The sequence below is a fragment of the Homo sapiens genome, chromosome 13 (genome assembly GCF_000001405.40).
Source record: "Homo sapiens chromosome 13, GRCh38.p14 Primary Assembly".
In the NCBI taxonomy this organism is placed as follows: Eukaryota; Metazoa; Chordata; class Mammalia; order Primates; family Hominidae; genus Homo; species Homo sapiens.
In genome coordinates, this window is record NC_000013.11 from 44,522,461 (window position 1) to 44,542,110 (window position 19,650).

Genomic DNA, 19,650 nt, shown 5'->3' on the forward strand with positions numbered 1-19,650 from the left:
ACTGCAATAATTAGGCAAGAGAGGATGGTGGCTTGAAGAGATTGAAAATGGAGATGGTGAGAAGTGGACAGGTTTGACAAAGATTTAAGAGGTAAATCTGATCTTTGGCAAAAGTACAAAGACAATTCAGTGGAGAAGGAAGAGTCTTCATGGTGCTGGACAACCACATGCAAAAGGAAAAATAATCTATCCAACACTGACCTTTTATCTTTCACAAAAGTTAACTCAGAAAGTATCACAGACCTATACATACAATTCAAAACTGTAAAACTTGTAGATAATGAGGAAGAAAATCTTGTTTGGCAATATATTTGTAAACACAGCACGAAAATCATGACCCATAAAGAAAAAATTGATAAGGTAGACTTCATTAAAATTGAAAATTTTTCTTCTCTGTAAAACACTGTTTAAAAAAAATGAAAAGACAAGCCACAGACTAGGAGAAAATATTTGTCAAACACATCTTATAAAGGACTGGTATCTAAAATATACCAAGAACTCTTAACACACAATAAAGAAAAAATCTTAAAAAAGAGCAAAAAATCTGAGCAGATGTATCACCAAAGATAATAGAGAAAAAAAAAAAACATGAAATGGAGCTCAACACCCTATATCACTAGAGAAATGCTAATTAAAACAATGGATACTACCACACCCCTATTAGACAGGCTACAATCACTGACAACACCAAATGCTGCTAAGAATGCAGAGCAAATGAATTCATATTCATTGCTGGTGGAAATGCAAAAACAGTACAGTCGAGTTGAGACAGTCTGCAGTCTCTTACAGAGCTAAGCACAGGCTTACTACATGACTCAGCAATTGCACACACAGGTATTTTCCCAAATGAGTTGAAAACAAGTCCACATAAAAACCTGCACAGGAATGTTTGCGGCAGCTTTATTCAGAACTGCCAAAAACATCAAGCAACCAAGCTGTCCTTCATTAGATGATGGATAAACAAACTGTGGTAGATATATACAATAATAAGAAATGAGCTCCCAAGTCACAAAAAGACATGAAAAAAACTTTCATATTGCTAAGTGAAAGCCAGTCTGAAAAAGCTACACACTGCATGACTCCAACACTATGACATTCCAGGAAAGGCAAAACTAGACAGATAGTAAGATCTGTGGCTGCCAGAGCCTGAGGTGGGGAGGTAGGAGTATGTGGCACGCAGAGAAGAAGGATTTTGCAACAGGGAGGACCCTGATGACAGAGCATTCACAGTGGTATCAGAAGCGACAACCAGAATGGAATAGATTGAAAAGTAAACTAAATTTGAGAGATTGTAACAATATAAGTAGACAACTCTTGATAATGAAAGTGAACAGAGATTGCAGAAGTTAGGGGGTGTGGAAAGACCCAAGGTGGCTTCCTTAAGATGATGTATGAAAGCATAATTAGATACTCATGAGAATGAGCTAATAGAGAAAAACATTTGCTAATAGAAGGAAAGATAAAATACAAAAGGCAACAAATCTTTAGCAAAATATAAGAGATAGACCCATCCTCTAGAGAACAATGAGAAAAAGCCTTTGAAAAAAGAAGTATGGGGATAGAAGCATCTTAATATTTCCAGTGCATGAAATACTATACATAATAAAAGATGCATGAAACTTAGTAGATCCTCAATAGAGATTAAATGAATCAAATTAAATAACTGTAATGGTTTAAAAAGCTCCTAGTAGAACAGCCTACTTCTAAGTCGTGGGACTCAAACTAAATTGAAGGCAAATTCAGACACTGAAAAATTCATACTACTTCCAGTTTTGAGTTCAACTAGTGAAGCTGTCACTCCTGTCCACACAACAGAAAAAAAAAAAAACTGAACTGGAAATCAGTAGCTTCTCTTAGATCCATCAGAGAACCGAGATCACAGGACAATCTGCTGCCTCCTCCAAAACTAAAGAAACAAGCAAATACAGAAAATCACAGCTTACCAGAAGCAGCAACTATTGCTGAAGCCAACAACTGGAAGAAAAACTTAAATAGATTAATTAAGACAGTCTAAATATGGACTAGTTTGACAGATGGAAACTCCTGGCAAACCAGCCTTAAGGGGCTCCCCACACTTCCATGATTTTTTTTGTTTGTTTGTTTGAGATGGAGTTTCACTCTTGTCACCCAGGCTAGAGTGCAATGGCGCGATCTTGGCTCACTGCAACCTCCGCTTCCCGGATTCAAGCAATTCTCCTGCCTCAGCCTCCTGAGTATTAACAGCACCCGCCATGCCCAGCTAATTTTTGTATTATTTTAGAAGAGATGAGGTTTCACCATGTTGGCTAGGCTGGTCTCAAACCCCTGACTTCAAGTAATCCATCTGCCTAGGCCTCCCAAGTGCTGGGATTACAGGCGTGAGCCACCGTGCCCAGCTACTTCCATGATTTTTAACTCCAAAAGCCCCATCAGGTTGTCAGGGTAAAGAAAAGAGAAAAAAATCCCTGTGCTTCTGGAAGGAGAAAGGAAAAAAGGAAAAAGTAACCATATTCAAATATTCCCAGAACATTCTGTTATCCTTAACAAAGGACTGACCTTAAGGAAAATTATTTTACCAGAGGCTAACCAACAGCGGGTATATCAAAGCCTGACCAAGTGGAATAAGGAAAATATCCAACTAGGGTTCTCTCTCTAGCTTTCTTGTTCCACCTAAGGGGGGTAAAAAAGCTGAGAAGCATTTGTAAAGGTGAAAGCCCAGGGGCACTGTCCCACAAAAAACCTGAGCCTAATCACAGGACTACATACAGACTATTCTCCCCGCTCCACAACACTCATCTTACTACAATCAACAGAGCTCCTGTAAAACAGGAAATCACAACTGAAAGAATGGTAAGGCTCAGGCTCTATTTAAAAAGGAGTCTCATGCCTGTAATCACAGCACTTTGGGAAACCGAGGCAGGAGGATCACTTGAGCCCAGGAATTCAAGACCAGCCTAGCAACACAGTGAGCCCCCACCTCTACAAAAATCAAAAGATAAATTAGCCAAGCATGGAGGCGCATGCCTGTAGTACCATCTTCTCAAGAGCCTGAGGCAGGAGGATCCCTTGAACCCAGGAGTTGAAGGCTGCAGTAAGCCATGATCGTGCCACTGCACTCTAGCCTGGGTAACACAGCAAGACCCTGTCTCTAAAAAAGTAAAAATAAAAGGGAGTCTCTAGGGAAACCCAAATACCACAGAGTAGACAAGATCAAGGACACTATAGGAAATTCTAGCCTCTGACATCAACAGCAAATAAACACAGATTAACCCCTAGCCAGATAAACATGAAACTTCATACTCAAGTCCTACTGATCTTAGTTCCTTTTACCCAATACATCATATCTAGCTTTTAACAAAAAAAAAAAAAAAAAAAAAATAGCCAGGCTCAGTGGTTCACACCTGTAATCCCAGCATTTTGGGAGGCTAAGGTGAGCGGACTGCCTTGATCTCAGGAGTTTGAACCTAGTCTGGACAACATGGCAAAAACCCATCTCTACAAAAATAGAAAAATTAGCCAGGTGTTGGTGGCTTGCGCCTGCAGTCCCAGCTCCTCACGAGGCTGAGGCTGGAGAATCTCTTGAGACCGGGAAGTGGAGGTTGCAGTTAGCCAAGACTGTGCCACTGTACTCCAGCCTGGATAACAGAGTGAGACCCTGTCTCAAAAACAAACAAACAAACAAACAAAAAACACCATTAGACATGCTAAAAGGTTAGGAAAAATAAAACAGTCTGAGGATCCAAAGCAAGTGTCAGAATCAGATTCAGATATGGCAGATATTTTGCAATTATTAGGCCAACAATTGCAAATAACTACTAACATGCTAAGGGCTCTAGTGGAAAAAGTAGAGAACATGTTAAGAATTGATGGGTAATATAAGCAAAGAGATGAAAATTCTGAGAATCAAAAGGAAATGCCAGAAATAAAAAAAAACAGCAACAGAAAAAAAGAATGCATATTACCAGATCATCTGCACATGGCCTAAGAATCAGTGAGCTCAAAGATACGTCAATAAAAACTTCCAAAACTGAAAAGCAAAGAAAAAAAAAAGGAATAGAATATCCTAAGACTGTAGGACAATTTAAAAAGGTAAAATGTATGCATAATAGGAATCCAAGACAGAAAAGAAAGAGAGAAGGAAACAGAATACAGATGCTCCTCCACTTAAGTCCCAGTAAGTCCATCCTGAGTGAAAATACTGTCAGTCAAAAAGGCATAGCTGACTGGAAGCTGAGGCTTGCTGCTGCCCAGCATAGCAAGAGAAGTATGGTTTCTACTGAATGCATATTGCTTTTGCACCATTGTAAAGCTGAAAAATCATTAAAATAGTAATCGAAGAAAAAATGGCTGAAAACTTTCCAACATTTATGACAGACACCAAATCACAGAGGCAGAAAGTTTGGAGAACATGACATAAGATAAATACCAAAAATCTACACTTAGGCATGTCATATTCAATCTGCAGAAAATCAAAGACAACAAAAAGATACTTAAAGAAGCCACAGATGGTAGTTAAGAGAAACCTTACCTATTGAGGAACAAGGATAAGAATTACATCAGACATTTCTTCAGGAACCATGCAAGCAAGAAGATTGAAGTTAAATATTTAGTGCTGAAAGAAAAAACTAGCAACCTACAATTCTGCATACAGCAAAATTCTTGAAAAGTATAAGAGAAAAAAAGACTTTCTCAGATAAAAATAGAGAATTTGTCACTACTAGACCTGTCTTGAAAAAAATGTTAAAAGTTCTTCTGAAAGAAGGAAAATATAGGTTACCGATCTGCACAAAGGAAAAGCATTAAAGAATAAAAGATAAAAACAAAACGTTTATTTTAAAAATTCTTAACTGATCTAACACATAAATTTGTTCAAAATAATGACATCAACAATATATTGAATAATTATAATTTATGGAAAAGCAAAATAAAAAACAGCAGTGTTATAAAAAATGGGAGAAATAATTGGTAATGCTATGTTATAAGGTACCAGCACTGCCCATAAAACAGTTTTAATGTTAATTGAAGGTGGATTCGTTGTAAATGTACACTGCCAACTCTAGGGCAACTAAAACAAAAATTTTTTAAGTATAATTGATATGCTATGAACAGACAGAAAATGGAATTATTTAAAATGTTCAACTAATAACAGAGAAGGCAGAAAAAGAGTGGAAGGCAAAATAAATTTTTTAAAAAAGAACAAGAGCAATGAACAGAAAAGCTGCAAACCTAGACCAGATAACTAATCCAACTAAATCAATAATCATTTTAAATGTGAACAGCTTAAATACACCAATTAAAACACAGAGACTTTCAAAGTGGATTTAAAACAACAAGATCCGACTGTACACTATATGTTGGCTACAAGAAACCCATTTTAAATATAAAAACACATAGAGGTTAAAAGTAAAAGGATAGGGACAGATATGCTATGCTAACACTAATCAAAACAAAGTGGGAATAACTGCATTAATCTCAAAGCAGACCTCAGAACAGGGAAAGTTATCAAAGACAAAGGGCATTTCATTATGATAAAGGGGCCAATACTCCAAGAAGACATAACCATTCTTAATATGTATGTGCCTAGCAATAGAGCATCAAAATATGAGACAAAAACTGATAGAAATGTAAGGAGGACTAGTCAAATCCACTATCATAGTTAAAGACTTAAACACCCCTCAATCAGGAATTGACAGATCCAGAAGGCAGAAAATCGGTAAGGACATAATTGAACTAAACAGCACCATCAATCAACAGGATCTAATTGACATCTATAGGCTACTTCATCCAACAACAAACAGAATACACATTCTTCTCAAGCTCACATAAATGTTCACCAAAACAGACCACATTCTGGGCAATAAAAACATAAAACAAATGTAAAAGAATACAAACCAAGCTTTCAGCCCACAATGGAATTAAACTAAAAATCAATAACACATACCAAATATTTACAGATAGTTGCAAACCCACAAAATACTTAGAAATTTAAAAATACACTTCTAAATATAACATCGGTCAAAGAAGCCTCAATTTTTTTAATTGTTTCAAACTAAATGAAAATAAAAATAGTTTATCAAAATTTTTGGAATGCAGCAGAAACAGTGCTAGAGGGAAATTTATAACACTGAAAGCATATAAAAGAAGACTGAAAACCAATAATCTAGGAAAACTGAAACAGAAGAGCAATATAAATCTAAAGCAAACAGAAAAAGAAATCAGATCAGAAATCAATGAAACTGAAAACATGTTAATACAGAAAAATCAACAAAACCAAAATCTAGTTCTTTGATCAATAAAACTGATAAACTTAGGGCCAGGCTAGCCAATAAAAGACACCAAAAAATAATACCACAAATCAAAAAGCATGACTACTGATCCCATGGGTATTAAAAGAATAACAAGTGTTATGAGCAGTTCTGTCTCCACAAATTTGTTAAGTTAGATGAAATGGGCAAATTCCTTGAATAATCTATCAAAATTCACATGGGAAAAAACAGATAAACTGAATAGGCCCATATCTATTAAAGAAATTGAATCAATCATTAATAACCTTCCCATGTAGAGTTCTACCAGGTATCTCATGATATGATACCAATTCTCTATAATCTCTTTAGAAAGCAGAAACAGTAAACAATTCCTAGCTCATTCTGTGAGGCCTTTGTAACAGAACTAGAAAAAGATAATACTAGAAAGGCAAATTACAGACTAATCTCTCATTAATATTGATGCAAAAATCCTTGACAAAATACAAATCAAATCCAACAATGTATAAAAAAAATTCTACACCATGACCAAGTGAGATTTTTCCATATATACGAGGCTGGTTTGACATTCAAAAGTCAATCTATAAAATCTACTACATCAATAGGCTAAAGAAAAATCATGTGATCCTATCAATAAATGCAGAAAAAGCACATGACAAAAATCCAACATCCATTCATAAAAACTCTGGGCAAACTAGGAAGAGAGGGAAACTCCCTCAACCTGATAAAGAGTATCAACAAAAAAAAACCTACAGTGAACATCTCACTTACTGTTGAGAAATGTCTTTCTTGTTGGTGAAGAAGGATGCTTTCCCCTAATATTGGGAACAAGACAAGGATGTCTCCTCTCACCACCCCAATTCAACATTATACTGGGAAGTCCTAGCTAGTGCAATAAGCAAACAGAATGAAAGGTATGCAGATTGAAAAGGAACAAATAAAACTTGTTTGCAGATGATATGATTGTGTATGTTGAAAACCGCAAGGAATCAAGGAAAAGATTCCTGCAACTAACACCTATAGCAAGGTTGAAGAATATAAGGTTAGTACACAAGTCAATTGCTTTCCCATACACCAGCAATGAACAATTGGAATTGGAAATTAAAACACCATTTACATTAACACCAAGAAATTAAACACTTTGGTATAAATCTAACAAAATAGGATCTCATATAAGGTCTATATAAGGAAAAAGCTAAAAAATGCTAATCAAAAATCAAAGATCTGAAAAAATGGAGAGATATTCCATGTTTATAGATAGGAATACTCAATAATGCTAAGATGTCAATTCTTCCCAACTTGATCTTTAGATTCAGTGCAATCCCAGTCAAAATCCTGGCATGGTGGATACAGGCAAACTGATTTGAAAGTCTATGTGGAAAAGCAAAAGGTCCAAAATGGCCAACACGATACCGAAGAACCAAGTCAGAGGATTTACACTCTCCAGACTTCAAGACTTAGTAAAAAGCTTCAGTATTCAACACAGTATGATATTGGCAAAGAAAAGATCAGTGGAATGGAATAAAGAGCCCAGATGTAGAACCACATATAGTCAACAGACCTTTGAAAAGAGAGCAAAGGCAATTCATGGAGAAAGAACAGTCTTCAACAAATGGTGCTGGAACAACTGGACATCATATGTCCCTCATCCCCCCAAAAATCAATGTAAACACAAACCTTACCCCTTTCACAAAAACTGAGACCAAGTCATAGATCTAAATGTAAATCACAAAACTTAAAAAAAAATCTGTAGGATATAAAACAGGGGAAAATCTAGGTGGCCTTAAATTTTTAGATACACCACCAAAATCATGACCCAGTAAAGGCAGACTTTATTAAAATTTCTTTGCAAAAGACAATATTAAGAGAACGAGAAGACAAGCCACAGATTGGGATAAAACATTTACCAAACACCCGATAAAAAGCTGGTATCCAAAATATATCAAGAACTCTTAAAACTCAAAAAAAAAAAACAAACCTGATTTTTAAAATGGGTAAATAATTTAAGCAGACACTCAGCAGATTGAGTGGAAAGTGTATGAGAAGATGTTCAACATCATATATCATTAGGGAATTGCAAATTAAAACAATGAGATACCACTACACACCTATTAGAGTAGCTACAACCAAATGATAACATCAAATGCTGGTGAGAATGTGGAGCAACAGAAATCACATTCATTGCTGATGGGAATGCAAAATGGTAAAGTCACTTTAGAAGACAGTTTGGCAGTTTCTGTACTGCAAAGCTAAGCACTGACTTACCATATGATCCAGCCATCACACAAATAAGGGAACAAAGGACATTTCTAGGTCAAACTATTCTGTATGATACTAATGGTGAATACGTGACATGTATTTGACAGAACCTATAGAACTGCACGACAGAAAGCATGAACCCCAATGTAAACTATAGACTTTAATTAATAATTGATCAATACTGGTTCATCAATTATAACAAATATAACACACTAACACAAGATGGTAACAGGAAACTGTGGGAGGGAGGAGGAGGTAAATGGGAACTCTCTACACTTACTGGTCAACTATTCCATAAATGTAAAACTGCTCTTTTTTAAAAGTCTATTAAAAATACTAAAATAACCCTTTAATTCAGACACTGAGGTTCTATATGAAATTCTGAGAATATGCAAATGCATTATCAATGGTGTAATAGATCAACAGATCTGCCTTGGAATGCCATCTTCATTGCTTACAGATTATATGTCCTTGGCCAGGTCTTGTAAACTCTGAGCTTCAACATTTTTATGTGTAAAATGAAAAAATTATCACCTTTCTCACAGGTTAACTCAATTAAATTAGGTAAATATACCTGAAGCATCTAGCAAAGGTACACTTAGTAGGTATGTAAATGTTTGTTCTTATTTTCCCCCAAATTCTTTCTAAATCAGGCAAGACAGGATATATCCTAACTCAACCAGTGTTTCTCAAATTGGGGTATCTATACCCTTAGATGTACATGCAACCATTAAATAAATAAAACACCTCATGTCTTCCAGGAGTTCAAGATTTGGGGGAGGAATGATAAATATTTTAAATGGTAATTAAAAGCACTATTATACTAAAATAATGTTGCTATAGCAGAATGTTTGCACTGTATTTCAATATGCAACACAAGACTGTGCCTGAATTAGAACTTAGGCCATATTCTCAAACTTTCAGGACTACTTCTTCACCATCTTCTGCTATTTGATATATGTCCTACACTTTTCCACTAATTTTAATTATGTTACTAAACTCAAGTTTATTTTCTTCTCAATACCAGTCACATAACAAGTGTCTCCAACAAGCCTGGTTACCCTTAAATTAGTAAATACAACCCGAAAAATAACATTTTATGTTTACACAATTTAATATACAATTTAAAGTCAGAATTAAAGCAAACTGAAAATAACTTAAATGGGGACTGTACTTTTGTATTTATGATTTCTCAAGGTTGTGGCTGTAACACTGAGTCAATTTCTTTTATAAGCTGTGCAAAATACAAATACTTTGCAGATACGGACTACTAGCCTAATTTTTAGAAACAAAATACTTTTTCATATCACTATAATTTCTTTGCCTAGGAGAATCTCAACATGCATAAAATCAAGCACTTTACTGGATAAATATTTAAGGAGAAAGCGGTATGAGTATTCCAGGCCAAAGGTAACATAAGGTCACGTGTTATAAGCCCAGGCAGAGCACATCTGTAATGTGCTGGTTTGGTGTCACACACTAACAGAAGCTGCAGTGCGCTCACAGAAGATCTACAAAATCTTTTTTTTTGAGACGGAGTCTTGCTCTGTCGCCCAGGCTGGAGTGCAGTGGCACCACCTCGGCTCACTGCAAGCTCCGCCTCCCAGGTCCTCGCCATTCTCCTGCCTCAGCCTCCCGAGTAGCTGGGACTATAGGCGCACGCCACCATGCCCGGCTATTTTTTTAATATTTTTAGTACAGACGGGGTTTCACCGTGTTAGCCAGGATGGTCTCGATCTCCTGACCTGTGATCCGCCTGCCTCAGCCTCCCGAAGTGCTGGGATTACAGGCGTGAGCCACCACACCCAGTCGATCTACAAAATCTTTAAGGATCTCAAAAGCATGCTACATGAATAAGAGGTAAGAATATGGGGATACTTAATATGTAGAAGACTTGGGCTTGGAATTGATGGGAAATTAATAGCTATCTTGAAGGCTGTCACATTTGAAAGGGATCAGACTTGCTCTGTCGTCTCAAACTAGGATCAACAAGCAGCAGTAAGTAGTAAAGTGGTACATCTGGTAGTGAAGAGACTTGAGTACTACAGACAATTTGTTTAAAAGAGTGTGGTATTAGAAACGTATGTGGTATTTTTGGATACCAATTATCTTGCATGTAAAATAAGGGTGCTAAACTAGAGAATTCTAAAGTAATTTTCAAGTAAAAATGGCATGGGAGCGGGGGCCAGGCATGGTGGTTCACTTGAGGGCATGATTAGCCAGGCATGATGGCCGCTGCCTGTAATCCCAATACTTTGGGAGGCTGAGGTGGATGGATCACTTGAGGTCAGGAGTTCGAGACCAGCCTGGCCAACATGGTGAAACCTCATCTCTACTAGAAGTACAAAAAATTAGCTGGGCATGGTGGTCCGTGCCTGTAATCCCAGCTACTCACGAGGCTGAGGCGAGAACCACTTGAACCCAGGAGGCAGATGTTGCAGTGAGCTGAGATCTTGCCACTGCACTCCAGCTTAGGTAAGAGTAAGACTCTGTATCAAATAAAATTAAAAAAAAAAAAAAAGGCATGGAAGCAAATTCTGAATCAACTTCTTAGCAAAGAGTATCCTTTCCCAGCACTCTGGGAGGCTGAGGCGGGTGGATCACCTGAGGTCAGGAGTTCAAGACCTGCCTGGCCACCATGGTGAAGCCCCATCTCTACAAAAATACATAAATTAGCTGAGCATGATGGCAGGTGCCTGTAATCCCAGGTACTCGGGAGGCTGAGGTGGGAGAATCACTTGAACCCAGGAGGTGGTGGTTGCAGTGAGCTGAGGTTGCCCCATGGCACTCCAGCCTGGGCAATAGAGCGAGACTCTTGTCTCCAGAACAAACAAACAAACAAACAAAAATAGTATCCTGAATGTACATGGAATCAGCTATGAAATGCCAAGTTCTATCACAAAGGACTTAGCAAAGGTAATGATGGCATGTTGATTCACATTATCACTTTTTCTACATCAAAAGGTAAGGTGGAATAAATAGCAAATTATTTTAAGAAAAGCCAGGCCAGGAGCAGTAGCCCATGCCCGTAATCTCAACATTTTAGGAGACTGAGGAGGGAGGATCACTTCTCAGCCTGGGCGACATAAACTCCATCTCTGCAAAAACATACAAAAATTAGCTGGGTATGGTGGTGCATACCTATAGTCCCAGCTTGAGAGGCTGAGGTAGGAGGATCACCTGAACCTGGGGAGTTCGAGGCTGCAGTAAGCCAGGATTGAGCCACTGCACTGCAGCCTGAGCGACAGAGTAAGACCCTGTCTCAAGGAGAAAAAAAAAAAAAAAAGCAGACATGGCAGTGCACGCCTGTAGCAGAAAAAACTGAGGCGAGAGGATCACTTGGTGAACTATAATGGTGCTACTGCACTCCAGCCTAGGTGACACTGTGAGACCCCGTCTTAAAAAAAAAAAAAAAAAAAAGCCAAAAATGTCCACTAGCAGTTCTTTTTAAAGAACTCAAAAACATGATGCAGGATTACTGCATTTTTCGATGTTATCCTTTATTGAGTAAATTACACTAGTAATTTAATTCTAGGGGGAAAAGTCCTAATCTATTTTCCTATCTTGTCCATATTCAATATTGCATTTTTCTTTGTTTCTAGATATGCTATTATCCTAACACAACCCTTTGAACCTACTTAATATTCCCTAGAGAATAATAGTATATCACTTTCTCCTGTCAATTATTTTATATACCAGGCAACAATATTATTTCTTGATCCTCAGTACAAGACTTCCGAGTTACAGTGCTAAGTAAACATTTACAGAATTCCTTAATTTCTCAAACCAAAATAAAAGTTCTAAGTCAAGCAATTGTTTTCTAAGTTCTAGATTTTAATACAAACAGCCAAAAGGAGATTGTACTTTCCTTTTGCTTTGCCAAAATCTGCAAAAATTTTGCCAAAAATATTCCAGGCAATAATCTCATGAAATATATACTCAACTTACCAAAGTACAGTATTTTTACAGTGCTCAGGCTTGAGAAATTAAATATGAATCATAAATGCTGAGAGCAGGGGTAGGAAATGCCTTGGAATATTGGAGGCTACATATACACAGAGTACAATGTCTGTGGACATGTTTCTAAATGCACTCCAAAGCCACACAAAAACAAATTTGTGGTTTATCAATTTCACTTCTCTGAGAGTTTTAAGAAAAATTATTTTCCTAATTCTCCATCTATCTGAAAACCCAAGGATACCTGTTGTAGTTTACATTATAATCCAAACATTAAACATATTTTGAATATTTTTCTACCTATGCCATACCTTACCTCTTCAGCAGAGATCCCTTTGATCATAATTCCTGAAAACTCCGATGAATACTTCAAAGTTCACTAACATTTTTAATGCAGTAATCTAATTACCTTAGATGTACATATTAGTGGAAAAAACACTCCAGAGTACCTAAGTGCTGAATTTTGAAACAAGTCTTTCACATTTTAGGACTAAATTACTATGAAATATTTTTAAAGGGAAACAAAAATACCTGGATAAAAATAAAGTAAAAAAATTGCTTAGGACATCTAAGCACTGACATTTGTCAGAGTATTTCAATATGGCAAAGAAAATAAGATCTGTGTACATATTTACAATAACCTATAAAGTCAGGACTTTGCAGTCACACTGCTTGTCATGTTTTTTTAAACAGAAGCTACAAAAAACAAACAAACAAACAAACAAAAAAAACCATTTGTTTCCTTACTAAAGAACAATCAAAACAGATTTTTATACTATAGTTAACCTCGTCAGTGATGGTGAAACCATAAGCCTATGTTCCTATACCTCAAAAATACAATGGTAAGCCAAATTCAACATTCTGTAGTATTTTTATTTTGAAGGTTACTGATGATGTAGAGGAGAGTCTATGTTTTAAAAATTACTTTTTAAAAACTCATGTCACCATTATCTTTGCAATATTTTTCAGGTTTCCAATGCAGGGTGTATTTTAACTTCCATGCCCAACCTACCCTTTCATACACATATAGGAAAAGCTTATAGATTTTTTTTATATTCAAATAAAATACAGCCTTTCATTGAAATATACTGTGTCTGTAAACCTTTTAATAGCTTTAATTCTAAAAACAAAATTTTGTGCACAGAATCTTTACTTTTTTTCCAAACTTACCAGGTTAATAAAGCCAAGAATGTTAGCTTCCTTTCCCCCACCCCCAATACAACAGCTATTCTAAATCATAACTGCCTTTTAGAAATTTGATTTCTTTCAGAGTATTAATTTCTTTGGGGAGCCAAATTATTACATTTTAATCCACCAATTGTCATTAATTCAATTTTTACTTCTTGCCTAGGACCCCATCTTAATGTTATTTTTAATTTTGGGGGTCCATTTCTTCAATAACTTTTCTTCAAATCTGAAAGGAAATCCTCTTGCTTCTAAGCAAATCCTGCATAGAAAAGGTAAATTGTTCCTGTGGCTTCAATTAAGTAAAATTATGTAGCTATAAAAACAAGAATCAATAAAACTAAATATTACCCTTCTCCATGCTGTCTTGATAAGATTTAAAAACAAGAGACTATGAGGCCAAGATTTCTCCCACTACAATTATTTGCGCAAGTAGAACACTAAAATACAAAACATTTTTCATTTCAACAGTTCTTATGAATTGCATAGTTCTCTAATCAGCCATTATTTTCAAATGTTCTTCTGGGTAAAGGAACTGTTTTTGGATGCTATTCTGTAAGAGTTATATTTTGATCAATCTAGCATTAAAAGACTTGGTCAAATTACTCTTGATATTTACAGTATTAACTCAAGAGAGTTTTAATGGTTTGCAAAATTGAGGTACAAAAATTGCATCTAAAAAAGTCCAATTCTGGAAACTAATCAGGAAAGATGATGCTAATCAGGAAAATGCAAAAACATACAAAACAGATCACCTATTTCATACATTCACTGGTGACCCCCACGAAGAATCACCTTAACAGTTCAAAAAAGTATTTTTCTGAAAAAAAAAAAAAAAAAAAAAAAAAAAAAAAAACAAAAAAAACTAACACACAGAAAGAATACATATTCAGAAATATTTAGAGAAAGACACAGAAAATTAAAATACATTTAAAAATACTGTTGCAGTTTTCACTTTCTACTCCTGAAACAGAAATAAGCCATTATCAGTAAGTGCATTTTTTTCATGGAGAAAATATTTATTAGATTTCAAATTATCACATAATACAGATATTACACAATTAGTCATTCTAGAAAAAAATAGTTTATATTAATATTCATAAACACTGAAAAATATAGGACTTCATTTTGTGACATAAAATATAAAAAAACTCAAAGGTAAATTCACCAAAATAAAAGTTTAAATAAACAAATCAGTTCACAATAATATACAAAAAGTTTCACTTTTAAATAAATAGCTTGTAGTGGCATGAGGTGACTAGAAATGCACTTACATTTCCTTTTGCATATTTTAAGGAACAGAGCTAAAATTCAATCAAAGCATGAGATTAAGAGATTAAATCACTTTTCATCTTCAAAGCTGAAACAAAAAGCTTATAATCTCACAGGCCACACAAAGCGGTTTCTACTGTGGTTCAAAGAGTTCAACTAACTTAATTTCCAAGCAAATATCATTTTTAGTTCCTTCAGTTCTTCCTAAAACGATGGACAGTTGTTTTTTTTAATTTATATGTGTTTGTAAACCAATTGTCTTATTAACATTTACTAAAAACAAGTCGGGAGTAAAAGCTGTAATCACTTATGGGAATTCAAAGCTCTCTGGGGAAATTTCAGTTCAAATTGAACCTTTAAACTTACTTTTAAATACTATACTTAACAAAAATTTATTTATAATTAATGAGAAAAAAATACAGATAGCCAAGAAAGACTAAGTGCAGGTTATGCTTTAGCAAATGTGGCTTCTAAAACTTTTGAGATTTCCTAAAACATTTTAGCTGCTTCCATATTAATAACTCTAGAATGTCTATTCTTAAAATGTATACCAAATTTAACAAACTGGCAGCATTAGGTGACTTTAAAAACATTCTTTAATAGCTTTTGACTGACCAGTTAATAGATACCAAAGAAAGAAACAGAAACATTTTGATAACTACTTCAATCAATTAATTGACAGCTTGGATAAATAACTATTTTGCAACACTTATTCCTTCACACCTACAGGCTTATTCTAATACTAAGTGCTTCTGCTCTGTAAACTACTGTTTTGTGACAGTACCAAACTTTAGAATGCCTTCAGTATGAAAAAAATACCTCAAGTTTAACAGGTATGTATTACTTTAGAAGACAGACCAAGCTACTTACATCTCAAAAGATATTTCTTCTACTTCTCTATTAGAAACTTTGTTGATTTGACAATTATAATAAGCCTCAAGACCAGCGAAGATGAGCTAAAAGAGTATATCCTAATATTAAAAGCAGTTTTCGAATAATTAAGAAGTTCACCCTTTATTTACTAGTTACTTTCAGTGTCAGGCAACAAAAAAAACCATTTCATTAAGTTTTCTGGACTTCCTCTACTACTTAAAAAAATGTTTGCCTACTTCATTAAGGTGATTTTCAATCCCACAAATGTTTTAAATGAAACAGATACAGAGAGCCGCTTTTAAAAGAAAGGAGTCTCTCAAGCTTCCTCTATTTCAGTCTTCTGAATAGAAAGAAATATTTTCATGGCCATGTAAAATTCCAATCTGAAAAGATTATTTCATTATTTGGGCCTTTCCATTTTCAGACCAAAAGTAAACCAGAGTAATTCTTAAAAGTTTATAAATGACAAGATCAGGTGGCTGGCTCATCCTTGTGTCTTCTAGACATATTGCATGGATCCATTCACCACTGCCTTCCAAACTGCAGGTGCTGGCATGTGTGACAGATATCATCCATGAAGGCTCTGCTAGAAGAATTCCTTTTGCTGAAGAAGTATGATGTTTTACCAGTTGAAAGAAATCTGGGCAATTAAAGAACAAATAAACCAGTCTCCCATTATCAAGATACCTGGAGTCACAGAAGGAATCCACCAAGGAAAAATGAAAACTTGCCAAAGGTAACAAGTTCACATTCTACCCATTGTAGGTGATAAGAACTTCCTGGAATCAAATCCTACCCTTGGCATCAAAGAAACTAAGAGAAAACCATCTTAATGCCATGGGGGAAATCTAGGAAAGGGTTCTTTTACCATAAATATTTATTCCTAGGGACTAGAAAATGACTTTTGAGTATATTAAACATAGCTTTCAGGGATACTGTATCCTGAAACTTACATTCATTCATACTTATGTTTTATTAAAGAATGGAGCCTAGAATTGACAGTAAAACCATAATAGTACTATCATTGCATCTTTTAAAAGATCTAATATGAAGTCCTAACATTTGAGGTAGGAAGAAGACCAAAAGGTTCTCACTAACAGTGTAGGATAACACTTGGACATGTGACTGTATAAATTAGACTTCAAATGTCCAGTTTGCCCAAAGATGAAATACAGAACCTTTTAAATTACTTGAATATAAAAGAGCACTTAGAAGTCCACTAATACCACAAAGGCCAAAATGGGTAGATATTCCCGTTTTAAAATTCCTGTGGACTACATAGGCATTCGTCAAATCATGTGCCCCAAATCATCCACTGCTTTAATTATCTGGAGAGAAAATTAAATTTTAGGTCTCATTTTTGAATGAGTACTAGTTAGCATTCTCAGAAAAACAAAACAGATTGCAGTCCCACCTGGTTCTTAAATGAACCCAAGGAGTTTACCACAGAATTAAATGGGCAATGGAAGGACACTCCAATCTATAAATTAACCCAAGTAAATAATGGAAAGCACCCACTTGTTTATTATCCTTTCCCACTCTCTCCAGAAGCTGGATATTCTGTCTCCAAGGGTTCAGTGGAGAAAGTGGACCCCTGACGTCAAAAGCTCTCCGTGGTCTTGGCTGTATCTGTGGTTCTAGGATCACTCCTTGCACCTCTGGTAGGAGAGAAGCACTGAAATAGAGAGCTGAATATAGATTTAAGGAAAAATTCTTATTAAGAAATTACATTCTCTGGTCATTTGAGTTTGTAATGGCTTAATCCTCAGGATAAAAAGGAGCTACCTTTGGGCATACTTTCTTTAGTGCCTTCTTAATTTGAATTTTAGAAGTCTGTCACCACAAATGATTAATTCCTCAGTAACTATTAAGAAGGGACCTGTATTGGTCTAAGCCATAACACACTCTGTGATAAACCACTCAACTCTGAGTGGAAGACCAAATCAAAAATGATAAATTATGACTGGAAACAAGATCATAGTTGTCTTTAAGGGACAGGGAAAAGGCACACAACCTCAGATATATCAAAGGAGGAGTCCCAGTTAATTCTTCTGTCAAAGAAAAGAAGATGGACTGAAAAGTAGAAACAGAAAAAACCAAGTATATTAACAGGAATACTACTAAACTTTGGGAAAGTCTAAGAAGCTGAATTTCTTCTCTGAGTTCAAGTCTTCATTAACTTAAAGAATTAATCACACTATAGGCCCATATTATAGCAATACAAAGCTAAGCCTATATTTTATGAAAGCTTATGACTACTGTCACTGAAAAGATTTATTCTTCAAGCACTCAGCTTTAAAACTGGGAAGGCAGAATAGTGGATATAGGCAATACAGACTCAAAATCCTTTTTAAAATGCATAATCATTTTCTTTTGGGTCAAGAAGAACCAGGAATAATCATTAATGGCTATAACATAGAAATTAAAGCAGTAAGATATACCCAAATTATAGATGATGGCAAAGATACTAGAAAATAGTTAGCTTTATTATAGGAATAAATAAGAGAAGGAAGTTCAAAGCACATAGCATCTGATCAAGGAAAAGCTGAAAGGAGAATAAGATAGGCAGATACATATTTAAAGTTACAGGGACTGCAGGATAAATTTTAACAGTGTTGCCTTTGGAAAACAGATCAATTATGCTTTGTGGTACAGAGTAATACATCCCTATTAAATTTCAGATCTTATTCTAAATATAAAGGTGCTGCGTATCCTTGTTCTACGGAGTACAGTCAGTCACAGTATCCTATTTCTAGGACATGTTATATTTTGGGATAAAGTTTTTATGAAATGCTATCAAGTAATCTCCCTCTCATACCAACTAGTTATCACAAGGGTTCCTTACCTGTTAGTGGAACGAGGATTGTGTTCTCTTGTTCTCTATCAATCAACCAACAAAGGTTATAGTCTCAGCACTAAGACGGTAGCAACCAACCAAAGTTAGTGTTTCTAATGCCTTCACTTCCTCCTGGCTCTGCCAGCCAGTTTGGAAATGTACCAAAAGCTGAAAAGGAATGGTTATTCCATTACCTAACAACATTTAGACTAAGTAATTTTAAAAGCTTAAAGATGAAAAGAATGAGCTAACCCTTCTGCACAGGGACATATCCAATTCTGTACAAATGAGAAATGACAGTTTGGCCTAAGTAAAGAAAACCTATGAATTTAACCATCAAATCTGCAATTACCAAATATTAAAGAAAAGAAAAAAGAAACTGGAAAGAAGAAGGTGAAACTGCCATCTAACAAGAGGTATCAAATAATTATGAAAGTACTTTATGCACCTAAAGTGGCAGCTATTTTTTCAATTTAAGCTTCCAACAGATTTTAAGTCCAAAAGCCTTTTAGTATTTAAAAGACTGTATCTTTAGATCAGTAGGCTTTAAAAAGTATTTTACAGTATAATCACAATGAGGAGGTATATGATGGATGATAAGAAGAAAGGAGCACAGATTAGAAAAAGGATCTGAATGCTGAATCTTAACAAATGCAATCTAATTAAGTAGTTTCAAGAGTCTAAAACACCCTAGTAGATTAACAAAGCATTCCACAGCTGGAGTTGTTAAGGAGTGGCTCTTTAACAGAGGAAAAAGGCTTAAAATCAGTACGTTGGAGCTATCTACATACATTTTCACAGTACCTATATGGTGCAAATAGGTGCTATAAAAGTGCTTTAAAAATTATTTATTAAACAATCATCCTCTAGCCTTTTCTAATCAATTTCCTTGACAAATTATTCTTTTTCATATAGTAATAGCTCAATATCAACCATGAAAATTATCTAAGATTTCTAAATTAATGAAATCTAAGTAAAACTTAACTACTTTAAAATAGTTTAAAACCTATTCAGAAATTATAATTA

At 35.3% G+C, this 19,650-nt stretch overlaps 1 protein-coding gene across 10 annotated transcripts in view; it reads right to left on the reverse strand.

Moving 5' to 3' along the window:
- The window catches only part of TSC22D1 (TSC22 domain family member 1), a 145,202-nt gene that overhangs the window by 90,318 nt on the left and 35,234 nt on the right, over positions 1 to 19,650 (reverse strand). For 2 of the 10 annotated variants that reach the window (XM_047430718.1, XM_047430717.1), the window contains exons 3-4: positions 17,307 to 17,463; positions 14,642 to 16,428 (exon numbers count right to left, since the gene is read on the reverse strand). The exons of 4 other annotated variants lie outside the window; for them this stretch is intronic. In XM_047430718.1, coding sequence (XP_047286674.1) covers positions 16,411 to 16,428; positions 17,307 to 17,463 — 175 coding nt within the window. In that variant the 3' untranslated portion in view covers positions 14,642 to 16,410. Of the gene's footprint in view, positions 1 to 14,641; positions 18,793 to 19,650 lie in introns of those variants that run through there. 4 more of the 10 variants (XR_001749705.3, XM_047430719.1, XM_017020810.3 and 1 more) reach the window with 4 other exon arrangements.